The following is a 12,704-nucleotide window of genomic DNA, read 5'->3' as shown; positions in this document are numbered from 1 at the left end:
CGGGTGGGGGCGGGAGGAGGCGTCCGCAGGCCCCCCTACCGTGAGAGGCAGCCGTGGGAACAGCCTACCTCTAAACAATCACTGCAGCCCAGGCTGACCAGGGGCTCTGGCCGGACATAGGGGCCTGGCAGGCTGTGTGCCCTGTAAGGACACAGTCTGTCTCTGTGCCTCAGTTTCTCTGCTGCCCAGATGGAGGGGCCCAGACTCCAGGTGTACACATCTGGAGCAGGCAGTGTTCAGTTGGGGAGGAAGCGGGGAGGACTGTGGGGGCCATGTGGGAAGGATTCCACCCCACATCACCTGCACCCCTGCTGAGCCTGGTCAACGGAGCCCCTCAGTGGGTCCTCACTCCCCTGGTTGCCTCCCATTTAGGCACCCTGAGGCCTGGGGAGAACAGAGCCAGGCCAGTGTCCCCAGAGAGGCTGCGCTGCCAGCACAGTAGTAGCGGATTTGGATTCAGAGAAGCAGACCTGCAGCCAGGGTGGGAAAGAGCTGCAGGTGGGGTGGGGCCCCCACATGGCACAGCCCCCCTCCCTGGAGGTCCATGCTGCATTTCCAGGACAGCAAGTCCCAGGGATGGATGGTGCCTGGTGCCAAGGGCTAGAGGCATGGTCTGTCTGCATTTCCCATGTAAGTGTCTCATAGTCACCAGCATTTGATGCTGTCAAGACCCCCTGTCCTCTGTGCAGACTGGGAAGCCCTTGGTCACCCTGGGGGGGTTGGGGGACCCAGGCCAGGCTGCAGAAACATAAGGACTTGAACCCGGGTCCTGAGTGACACCACCTTGGGTCCTCCTCCTTCTGCCTCTGTTCAGCTCCACCTTGATGCTGACTAGGCTGGGCCATGCGGAGAGGGTTAGGGGATAGAGATGGGAGCTGGGGAGCAGGGCTCCACTCTGGGAGGTGGGCAGCCTTGCCGGATCCAGGGCAGAGTTAAGCGGCCCCAGCTCTGCTTTCCCAGAGCTGCTGAGAACCTGGGGAATGGTGTGGAGGTTCCAGGGAGCCCTGCCCCTACCTGGCAACCGCAGTGCAGCACGCACCAAGTTCTCCTGCACATTGCGACAGTGTGACCATGGGCTCTGGCGGGCAGTAGGTGGGGCCTTTGGACCTACCAGCAGTGAGGGAGTTAACACAGCAGCTGACTTCTCTAGGCAAAGAAAACTCCCCTCAGACGCTTTGCTGCCTGGCCTCCTGCCAGGAACAAGCAGGAGCTGAAAACTAGAAGTTGAGGCATGAGTTTGGCCACTCCGTAGTGTGCACTTGGTGAGGGCAGCAGCTCGCCACAGCTGCCAGCCATCTGTCCATTCACCCATCTGTCCATCTGGCAGCCCGCTGTTCAGACCTGTCTGTCTGTCCGCCCATCTGTAAGCCCATCTCTGTCCCATTGTCTATCTGACCATCTTTCTCTTACTGTCCTCTTTGTCTAGCTATCTGGCCTGTCTGTCGATCCATCTTCGTGTCTGTCTTCAGCCCCCACCTGTTTGTCCATCTGTCCAATTACCTGTGAGTCTATCTATGCATCTTCTTGTCCATTCATCTGCCCACCCATCTGTCCCTCCATCTGCCCACCGGCCTCCCCTCTCCTTCTGGGCCGCAGAGCCATGGCCCAGGACTACGGAGCCATGGGTGACCTGGTCCTGCTGGGGCTGGGGCTGGGGCTGGCGCTGGCTGTCATTGTGCTGGCTGTGGTCCTCTCTCGACACCAGGCCCCATTTGACCCCCGGCCTTTGCCCACGCCGCTGTTGCTGCTGACTCCAAGGTCTTCTCAAATATTGTACGGTGAGTGAGACGTGGGAGGAAGCTGGGTGGCCTTTGGCAGCCAGCCCCTCCTGGAGAAGGCGTGTGTGTGTGAGCATGTGTGTGTGTGAGAGATTATGTGTGAGTGTGTGTGGGTATATGTGTGAGTGTGTTTGTGGGGTGTGGGTGTGTGTGAATGTGTGTGATCGTGTTTGGGTGTGTGTATGTGTGAGTGTGGGTGTGTGTGAATGTGTGTGATTGTGTTTGTGTATGTGTGTGTGGGTGTGTGTGAGTATATGTGAGTGTGAGTGTGTGGGGGTGTGGGTGGGTGTGAATGTGTGTGATTGTGTTTCGCTGTGTGAGGGTGTGTGTGACTGTGAGTGTGTGAGTGTGGGTGTGTGGGTGTGTGTAAATGTGTGAGTGTGAGTATGGGGGGGTGGGTATGTGTGAATGTGTGTGATTGTGTGTGGGTATATTTGTGGGGGTGTGTGTGTGTGTGCACGTGTGTGTGTGTGCACGTGCACTGGCCCAGGAAGCAGGAGCCGTGTGTGTGGGCTTCAGCACCTGCAGGGCTTGAGCGCAAGGAGACAGCCTCAGGGCCCTTGCACAGAACAGGCGGCAGGGTGTGCCCGTGGGGCAGATGGGGACTTGGGGACAATGGTGGTGTGTGAGTCCATACCTGGCTCCAGGATTCAGGAGGCCCATTTGCATATCCCAGGTGGGAACCTGTCTGGCCCCGCCTGACCCTGCTGGCCGGCGCAGGCCCCTTCAGTGAGGCCAATTCTCCAAGGCTGCGGTCTTCTCCCAGGGTCATGGGTGAAGGGGTTTGGAGGCTCCCTGCGTGGGTACTGGCCTGCTGGGGTACACACAATGCTGCCATAGCCAGTCTGCCCCTACACCCAGCCCGGGGCCACATCTCAGGTCTCTCAGTCCTGAGGAGCCCGGTGCCCCACCCCTCACATCCTCTCTCCCTGAGTCAGGGCCTGGGTCTCGTGAGCTGAGTGACTGATACTTGGTGTCCTGGATGAGGGCGTGGTGGAGAGGGGCCACAGCGGGTGTTTCCTGACCCTCTTCCAGGAAGGTGCTGCTGCCGCTGCAGGGAGGACACACACAGGATGCCCCTTCTTGCCCCCTGCCTCCCATTGGGCCCACAAAAGCCAGGGCAAGCCTCCCCTCCCTGCCAGCCACCTGGTCTGCTTCCCAGAAATTCTGTCTTGCAGGCTGTTGGGAGGATCCCAGTACTTTGTAAACTAAAGCAAGGGAGGAGTGGCCGTTCTCTCTCTTTGTTCATTCATTCACCTTTTCATTCATTCCTTCTTCCCTCCATTCCCCCATCTGTGCATCCTTCCCTGCCCTGATTGCTCATGCCACCCCCCCCCAGCCCCTCCTGACCTGGTCCTTTGGTTTCTCTTCAGGGCTTTCTGTCTCCTCCCACAGGGCTGAGAATGGCAGCTCAGGGACAAGTAGGGGCTGGGGACTGCTTAGTCTCCCCAGTGGCTCTCAGGGGATTTGAGGGTTTGACGCCAGCTGCCACCCCAGGCTGTGCCCCTCCTCTGCTCGGGAGGACATACAGAGATGCGACACCCACTTAAACTCGAAGTTGCAAAGATGCAAATGAGACTGGGGTCTCAGGCACCAGAGACCACCCGTGGGCACGTGGCTTTTGGGAGTGGGGACCTGCTGCCACAGATCTCTGAAGAGTCTGGACCTGCTGGGTCTCCCCGAGTGACTGTCTGGGGGTCTCCATAGCATGCCCTGCTGTGTGCGTGACGGTCACTGGTTGGGTAGGGGTCTCTACTCTAAAGCTCCCTCTGCCGGCATCCCCTCCAACTCTCCCTTGGTGAAGAGAGGATGTGGTTTGCCCCAGTGTTTTATCAAACAACTCTCTCCACTTCCAGTTTTAAGAAGCTGGGAGTGGAAGAGAGCCTGGGGCTGGCCCCAGCTGCTGCTGTGAAACAGGGGTCACTGGACGCTGGGACCCTGGCCGGGCTGGCTGGAGGCCTCAGGAAGAGGCCTGCTACAGCGTCATCCTGGCCAAGATTCCTCCCTGCAGAGGACCCTGGCCACGCTGCCACAGGGTCTGCTGGGGCCACCAGAAGCCCATGCTCCTGCCTCCATCTCTCCCCTCTGTGCTCACCTCTCACCAGGAGGCCCTCCCAGAGTTCAGTGTCCTGCTTTTTTTTTTTTTTTTTGTGACGGTGTCTCACTCTGTCACCAGGCTGGAGTGCAGTGGCGCGATCTCAGCTTACTGCAACCTCTGCTTCCTCGGTTCAAATGATTCTCCTGCCTCAGCCTCCTGAGTAGCTGGGACTACAGGTGCCAGCCACCACGCCCCGCTAATTTCTGTATTTTTAGTAGAGACGGGGTTTCACCGTGTTGGCCAGGATGGTCTCTATCTCTTGATTCACCCGCCTTGGCCACCCAAAGTGCTGGCATTACAGGAGTGAGTCATGGCACCTGGCCTCATCTCCTACTCTTTCAGCACCAGGTTTTATTCTTGGGATTCTGCTACAGCCGGAGCCCCTGGGTGCGAGTTCCTAAGGTTTCTGTGAGTGTGGACCCAGCACCGTGCCTAGTAGACATACAAAAGGAGCATGGTGACAGTGAGGTCTGTCATCTCCAGCATAATGACTGTTTTGATCCTTGTAAAAAAGGTGATTTTTGGCTGGGTGTGGTGGCTCACACCTGTAATCCCAGCACTTTGGGAGGCCGAGGGGGGTGGCTCACTTGAGGTCAGGAGTTGGAGACCAGCCTGGGCAACATGGTGAAACCATGTCTCTACTAAAAATACAAAAATTAGCTGGGCATGGTAGCAGGTGCCTGTAATCCCAGATACTTGGGAGGCTGAGACAGGAGAATCACTTGAACCCAGGAGGCAAAGGTTTCAGTAAGCCAAGATTGCACCACTGCACTCCAGCCTGGGTGACAGAGCAAGACTTGGTCTCAAAAAAAAAAAAAAGAAAGAAAGAAAAGTTTATATTTTTGTTCTAATGGTTATCTTAATATCGTCATTCTATAATTATATGTTTTATATAATTATAATAGCTATATAAGATATAATACCCCTAGTATGTTGTTTTTTGGATATTCTACTTGCTCCTGATGGTTAATTTATGTGTCAACTTGGCTAAGCTATGGTGTCCTGTTGTTTGGTCAAATACTTGTCAATATCTTGCTGGGAGGTTATTTCATAGATGTGATTAACACTGACAGTCAATTGACTTTAAGTAAAACAGATTACCCACCATAATATGGGTGGGCCACCTCCAATCAGTTGAAGGCCTTAAGAACAAAAACTGAGGTTTCCCAGAGAAGCAGGAATTCTGCTTCAAGACTGTAACACACAAACCCTGCCTGAGTTTCTGGCCTGCTGACTGCTCTACAGATTTTAGGTTCCAGACTTCGAGATCAACTCTTACCTGAATTTATAGCCTGCTGGCTTGCCCTACAGATTTTAAAACTTGCTAGTCCCCACAATCATGTGAGCCAATTCCTAAATAAATCTCTCTCTATGTATAATCTATTGGTTTAGTTTCTCTGAAAAACTTTCACATCCAGTTTCCTGGTTGTTAAGAATTACCGAAACTAGCTAGTAACTTCTTTTTTTTTTTTTTTTTTTGAGACAGAGTTTTGCTCTTGTTGCCCAGGCTGGAATGCAATGGCACAATCTCAGCTCACCGCAACCTCCACTTCCTGGGTCCAAGCAATTCTCCTCCCTCAGCCTCCTGAGTAGCTGGGATTACAGGCATGTGCCACCATGCTTGGCTAATTTTTGTATTTTTAGTAGAGACAGGGCTTCTCCATGTTGGTCAGGCTGGTCTTGAACTCCCAACCTCAGGTGATCCGCCGCCTTGGCCTCACAAAGTGCTGGAATTACAGGCACGAGCCATTGCGCCTGGCTCCTAGTAAATTCTTCTTTTCTGTGATGTGTCTCTTACCTCTAATAATACTTTTCTTCTTAAAGTCTACTTCATTAAAAATAGTTATGCTGGGCATGGTGGCTCATGGCTGTAATCTTGGCACTTTGCTGGAGGTCGAGGTGGGTGGATCACTGAAGCCCAGGAGTTCAAGACCAACCTGGGCAACATGGCGAGACCCTGCCTCTACAAAAAATACAAAAATTAGCTGGGTGTGGCTAATATAATTCTAAGTTGGCACACTTGTAGTCCCAGCTACTTGGGATGCTGAGGTGGGAGAATCGCTTGAGCCTAGAAGGGAGAGATTGCTGTAAGCCAAGATCACATCACTGCACTCCAGCCTGGGAGACAGAGTGAGGCTCTATCTCCAAAAAAAAAAAAAAAAAAAAAAAAAAAGTTATACAGCTTTCTTGGTTAGTACATGCATGACATATTTTTCATGATCTTCCACCTCTCTGTACCCTTATATAAAAGGCATTAGTTGGGTTTTACTTTATTTTCAATTATTTTAATTTTTATTGTCCTTTTAAATGTAACTAATGATTTATTTGGGTTGAAACCCACCACCAATTTGTTTTCCATGCCTATTCTATTTCTTCTTATCTCCTCTCACATCTTGTTTTGGATTTATTATTTTTATTATTTAATTTCCTCCTTCTCTATTAGTTTCATAACTGTGCAGTCTTAGAGTTATTTTAAAAGATGACTGGATTATTTTAGAGCTTACAACATGCATCCTTCCCTTATCAAAGTCTAACATGAGCTAGTACTTTTTGTTGTGGTTGAGATAGAGAGAGTCTTCCTCTGCTGCCCAGGCTGGAGTGCAGTGGAGCAATCTTGGTTCACTGCAACCTCCACTTCTTGGGTTCAAGCAATTCTCCTGCCTCAGTCACCTGAGTAGCTGGGACCACAGGTGTGCACCACTATGCCCGGCCAATTTTTGTATTCTTTTTCAGTAGAGACAGGGTTTCACCATGTTGGCCAGGCTGGTCTTGAACTCCGGACCTTAAGAGATCTGCCTACCTCGGCATCCTAAAGTGTTGGGATTACAGGCGTGAGCCACCGCGCCCAGCCTATGAGTTAGTACTTCTATCCTCTTCCTAGTCAGTACAAGAACCTTGGAACAGGAACTAAATTTACCCCCAGTGACTTATATGCTAATATTTTTGTGTATTTTAAATATGTGTGTGTGCATAGATGTATCTGTGTGTTTTTTGTGTTTTTATTCTTATTTATGTTGAGAGTGTAGAGCTATGTAAGAGTAAAGAGAATTGTGTAATGAAGCCCCGAGTATCCATTCAATTTCAACAACAATCTTATGGCCAAGCTCATTTCATGTATACTCTTTCCTGCTTCCCTCTACCCCACATTATTTCAGTGCAAATCCCAGATATATAACTGTACCAATACATATTTCAGTATGTTTTATTTATTTTAAACCCCACAAGATATCATTTTCTATACTACTGTAATTTTATACCAATAACATTCATTTAGATTTACCCACACGTTTACCCTACCCTCCGGGTCCTGTTTGAAAATCAAGCCCATGCTCACAGGCCAATTTTTTTTCTTTTAGAGACAGGGTCTCACTTTGTCACCCAAGCTGGAGTGCAGTGGTGCGATTATAGCTCAATGCAGCCTCCAATTCCTGGACTCAAGGGACCCTCCTGCCTCAGCCTGCCAAGTAGCTTGGACTATAGCTGTGTGTTTTCTTATTATTTTGTAGACATGGGGTCTGGCTATGTTGTCCAGGCTATTCTCAAAATTCCCGGCCTCGAGCAATCCTCCTGCCTCGGCCTCTCAAAGGTTGGGATTACAGGTGTGAGGCAAGGCACCCAGCTCAGCCACAGAGCCCTGTTGCATCTCTCTTACTAGGAGCAAGAGCTGACTGCCCCCTCATCCCCATTCCAGAGTGTTGGGGCTGTGTTCAGCCGAGGCCGGGCCACTGGCATGGCCCAGGGAGCGGGATCATTCACTGCTGCCCCAAATCTGAGATCATTCCACCTTGACAAGACTTCCTCATCCAATCCCTTTACTTGACAGCTGGGGAAACCAATGCGCACAGAGCACCCCCAGCTCACTCGGGGTCTCAGAGCTGATCCATGAGCAGAGGCTGAGATCCTGGGATCTTGTCCCCCAGCCGCCCTGCAAGCTTACTCCCTTTCTGCTGGAAGAGATGGGGCCGGACCTCGACCAGCAGCCCTGGCCTGGACATGACTGTGCTCACCCAGGTATTGAGGCCGAGATGCCCCGGCATCATATGTTTTTCTCTCTTTTTTTCTTTTTTTTTGAGACAGTATCTCACTCTGTCACCCAAGCTGGAGTGCAGTGGCATGATATTGGCTCACTGCAACCTCTGCCTCCCGCTTAAAGTGATTCTCCTGCCTCAGTCTTCCAAGTAGCTGGGCCTACAGGCTTGTACCACCACACCTGACTAATTTTTGTATTTTTACTAGAGACGGGGTTTCCCCATGTTGGCCAGGCTCGTGTCGAACTCCTGACCTCAGGTGATCCACCTGCCTTGGCCTCCCAAAGTGCTAGGATTACAGGCATGAGCCATGGCGTCACTTAAATGTAGTGAGAGGCCGGGCAAGGGGCTCATGCCTGTAATCCCAGTGCTTTGAGAGGACGAGGCTGTCAGATCACCTAAGGTCAGGAGTTCGAGACCAGCCTGGCCAACATGGTGAAACTGTGTCTCTACAAAAAAATAGAAAAAAAAATCCCTGCGTGGTGGCAAGTATCTGTAGTCCCAGTTACTCAGGAGGCTGAGGCATGAGAATTGCTTAAACCTCGGAGGCGGAGGCTGCAGTGAGCTGAGATGGCGCCACTGCACTCCAGCCTGGGTGACAGAGCAAGACTTTGTCTCTAAATAATTAAATAAATAAATATGGCCGAGCATGGTGCCTTAGGCCTGTAATCCCAACACTTTGGGAGGCTGAGGCAGGTGGTTCATGAGGTCAGGAGCCCGAGACCAGCCTGGCCAAGATGGTGAAACACTGTCTCTACTAAAAATACAAAAATTAGCCAGCTGTGGTGGCAGGCACCTGTAATCCCAGCTACTTGGGACACTGAGGCAGGAGAATCGCTTGAACCTGGAAGGCAGAGGTTGCAATGAGCCGAGATTGCACCGCTGCACTCTAGCCTGGGCGATGGAGCAAGACTCCATCTCAAATAAATAAATTAATAAATACAGAGCAAGATTCCATCTCAAATAAATAAATAAATGTACACCTGTAATCCTAGCACTTTGGGAGGCTAAGACAGGTCGATCACCTGAGGTCAGGAGTTCGAGACCAGCCTGACCAATATGGCAAAACTCCATCTCTACTAAAAATACAAAAATTAGCCGGGCGTTTTGACGTGTGCCTGTAGTCCCAGCTACTTGGGAGGCTGAGACAAGAGAATTGCTTGAACCCAAGAGGTGGAGGTTGCAGTGAGCCGAGATCTCGGCTGCACTTCAGCCTGGGTGACAGAGTGAGACTCTGTCTCAAAAGGAATAAATAAAATACAAAGTAAAAAAAAATGTAGTAAGATTGCAGAGTCGTGCCGCAGAAGCGTGCTGGTCCTATCCATGTAGTGAAGGCTGATTTCATACACAAATGTCAGAAGAACTTTTCTTTTCTTTTTCTTTTCTTTTTTTTTTTTTTGAGACGGAGTCTCGCTCTGTCACCCAGGCTGGAGTGCAGTGGTGTGATCTAGGCTCACTGCAAGCTCTGCCTCCCTGGTTTATGCCATTCTCCTGCCTCAGCCTCCTCAGTAGCTGGGACTACAGGCGCCTGCCACCTAGCCCAGCTAATTTTTTTGTACTTTTAGAGGAGATGGGGTTTCACCGCGTTAGCCAGGATAGTCTCAATCTCCTGACCTCGTGATCCGCCCGTCTCGGCCTCCCAAAGTGCTGGGATTACAGGCATGAGCCACCACACCCGGCCTTCTTATATGCTTTTATTGCATTTGAGCGTACCTCTTTTACAGCGAAGATCTTTTTTTTAAATTTTATTTTATTTTTAGAGATGGAGTCTTGCTTTGTTGCCCAGGCTGGAGCACTGTGGTGTGATCATAGCTCACTGCAGCCTTGAACTCCCGGGCACAGGTGATCCTCCCACCTCAGCCTCCTGAATAGCTGGGACTACAGGCATGCACCACCATGCCTGGCATATTTTAAAGATGTTTGTAGAGATGAGGTCTCGCTATGTTGCCAGGCTTGTCTCAAACTACTGGGCTCAAGCCATCCATCCATTTCAGCCTCCCAAAGTGCTTGGATTATAGGCATGAGCACTGCGCCTGGCCATCACACTGTTTTTTTGTTTGTTTGTTTGTTTGTTTTGAGATGGAGTCTTGCTCTGTCGCCCAGGCTGGAGTGCAGTAGTGGGATCTCACCTCATTGCAAGCTCCGCCTTGTGGGTTCACGCCATTCTCCTGCCTCAGCCTCCTGAGTAGCTGGGATTACAGGCGCCCGCCACCACGCCTGGCTAATTTTTTGTATTTTTAGTAGAGACGGGATTTCACCGTGTTAGCCAGGATGGTCTCGATCTCCTGACCGTGATCTGCCCGCCTCGGCCTCTCAAAGTGCTGGGATTACAGGCATGAGCCAATAAATATTTTTATAATCATTAACTACCGAGGAGAAGCTGGAGAGAAAAAAGGTGGATGAAGTTAAGGCAGAGAGACTTTGTAAGTTTCTTAGCTGAGCTTTTGGAGACTGTATATCAGAGATCCTATTTGAGGTGATTTTCGGCTACAGAGATAGGCCTGGTCATTTGAAAAATAACGGATTAGGTGAAGCTTGCGTTTGAAATCCTCCTTCTACTTCTCATCTTTCTCTCTTGTTTATTCTGAACATCCATCTTAGACACCCAATCTTTGTCACTTTGTGGTTGTCATTGATTTCCCTGTTATTGAGATTAGAGGTTGGCAGACTTTCTCTGTAAAGGGCTGGAGAGAAAGTACTTCAGACTTTGTGGTCTGTGCAGTGTCTGTTGCAACCACTTAACTCTGCCCTGTAGAGCAAAAGCAGCCGTAGACAGTACATGGGCAGATGAGCATGGCTGGGGTCCAGTTACATTTACTTGCAAAAAGAGGGTTGGAGACTGGGTGCGATCTCCCACCTTTAATCCCGGCACTTTGGGAGGCCGAGGCAGGAGGATCACTTCAAGCCAGGAGTTCAAGACCAGCCTGGGCAACAAAGCAAGACTCCATCTCTACAAAAAAATAAAAATTATTATAGCTAGGCATGGTGGTACACACCCGTAGTCCTAGCTACTCAGGAAGCTAAAACTGAGGCAGGAGGGTCAGTTGAGCCCAGGAGCACGAGGCTGTGGTGAGCTATTATTGTGCCAGTGCACTCCAGCCTGGTGACAGAGCAAGAACCGTCTCATCAAAAAATAAACAAAAGGCTGGGCACGGTGGCTCACGCCTGTAATCCCTGCACTTTGGGAGACTAAGGTGGGCAGATCATGAGGTCAGGAGATTGAGACCATCCTGGCTAACACGGTGAAACCCTGTCTCTACTAAAAATACAAAAAGTTAGCCGGGCGTGGTGGTGGGCGCCTGTAGTCCCAGCCACTCGGGAGGCTGAGGAGGGAGAATCGTTTGAACCTGGGAGGCGGAGGTTGCAGTGAGCCAAGGTTGTGCCACTGCACTCTAGCCTGGGCTACAGGGCAAGACTCCATTAAAAAAAAAAAAAAAAACCAGCAAAAACCAAACAAAACATAATGCATGTTCTCTCTTATAAATGGGAGCTAAACATGGGGACTCATTGACTTAAAGATGGCAACAACTGGGAACTGCTGGATGGGGAGGGAGGGGAGGGGTGAAAGGCCAACTGTTGGGGAGTATGCTCATATCCATGTGACAAACCTGCACATGTGCCCGCTGAATCTAAAATAAAAGTTGAAAGTAGATTTAAAAAACCCCAAGAGGGCTGGGTTTGGCTTGTGTGTCCATAGCTTGTTAACCTCCGCTTTAGATATTAACTAATAGAAACATAGTGCTTATCTTCCCAGGCCACCTATTTTGTTCCTCTCCAAGGTGATGGATAGATGAAGGCCTAATCCAGCCGCCTGGAAGTTTGCTGACGCTTGTCCTGTCACGGATTAATGAAGCATTGTTTTCTGATGAAGGTTTCATGCCGCTGTGCTGATGTGTCTTCTCTTCTCTCTAGGCAGGAAACTGCATATCTTCTGGTTTACATGAAGATGGAGTGCTAATGGAAATGCCCAAAACCTTCAGAGATTGACACGCTGTCATTTTCCATTTCCGTTCCTGGATCTACGGAGTCTTCTAAGAGATTTTGCAATGAGGAGAAGCACTGTTTTCAAACTATATAACTGAGCCTTATTTATAATTAGGGATATTATCAAAATATGTAACCATGAGGCCCCTCAGGTCCTGATCAGTCAGAATGGATGCTTTCACCAGCAGACCCGGCCATGTGGCTGCTCGGTCCTGGGTGCTCGCTGCTGTGCAAGACATTAGCCCTTTAGTTATGAGCCTGTGGGAACTTCAGGGGTTCCCAGTGGGGAGAGCAGTGGCAGTGGGAGGCATCTGGGGGCCAAAGGTCAGTGGCAGGGGGTATTTCAGTATTATACAACTGCTGTGACCAGACTTGTATACTGGCTGAATATCAGTGCTGTTTGTAATTTTTCACTTTGAGAACCAACATTAATTCCATATGAATCAAGTGTTTTGTAACTGCTATTCATTTATTCAGCAAATATTTATTGATCATCTCTTCTCCATAAGATAGTGTGATAAACACAGTCATGAATAAAGTTATTTTCCACAAAAGGACTTTGCAGTTTTAACGGGGGGCAGTAGGGATTGTGCTATAGAAATTCAAAGGCAAGGGAAGTCACTTCTGTTGTGGGGCCCTGGGAGGAGCCTCCAGGCTGGAAAGGGTTAAGGTGGAGGTCTCCGATAGGGGCAGCGTACACAGTGGACTGGCTGCAAAAGGCCGTGCTCAGCATTCAGACAGCATCACACACTCCGCTTTTCTCTACCAGGGAGGCAGGTGGGGAAGGATAGCGATGGGAAGGCAGGCGGAGCTCAG

The 12,704-nt window shown here is 50.3% G+C and overlaps 1 long non-coding RNA gene across 1 annotated transcript, besides 2 other annotated features; it reads left to right on the top strand.

The window, feature by feature from the left end:
* Window positions 1–1,243: 1,243 nt before the first annotated feature.
* On the top strand, window positions 1,244–12,442 carry FAM247A (family with sequence similarity 247 member A). The gene is made up of 2 exons (NR_185501.1): window positions 1,244–1,778; window positions 11,817–12,442. It is a non-coding gene; the product is annotated as a family with sequence similarity 247 member A (long non-coding RNA).
* Window positions 2,908–3,589: an enhancer, noted in NCBI's record as "H3K4me1 hESC enhancer chr22:21555932-21556613 (GRCh37/hg19 assembly coordinates)". NCBI's record gives its function as "activates a minimal SCP1, AML or CMV promoter by ChIP-STARR-seq in primed H9 embryonic stem cells {active_cell/tissue: H9 hESC(primed)}" and the evidence as "EXISTENCE:reporter gene assay evidence [ECO:0000049][PMID:30033119]".
* Window positions 3,590–4,272: an enhancer, noted in NCBI's record as "H3K4me1 hESC enhancer chr22:21555249-21555931 (GRCh37/hg19 assembly coordinates)". NCBI's record gives its function as "activates a minimal SCP1, AML or CMV promoter by ChIP-STARR-seq in primed H9 embryonic stem cells {active_cell/tissue: H9 hESC(primed)}" and the evidence as "EXISTENCE:reporter gene assay evidence [ECO:0000049][PMID:30033119]".
* Window positions 12,443–12,704: the final 262 nt, after the last annotated feature.

This window comes from Homo sapiens, chromosome 22 (genome assembly GCF_000001405.40).
Source record: "Homo sapiens chromosome 22, GRCh38.p14 Primary Assembly".
Lineage (NCBI taxonomy): Eukaryota > Metazoa > Chordata > Mammalia > Primates > Hominidae > Homo > Homo sapiens.
Note: the sequence above shows the minus strand (reverse complement) of the source record. Positions and strands in the feature narration are given on the sequence as shown.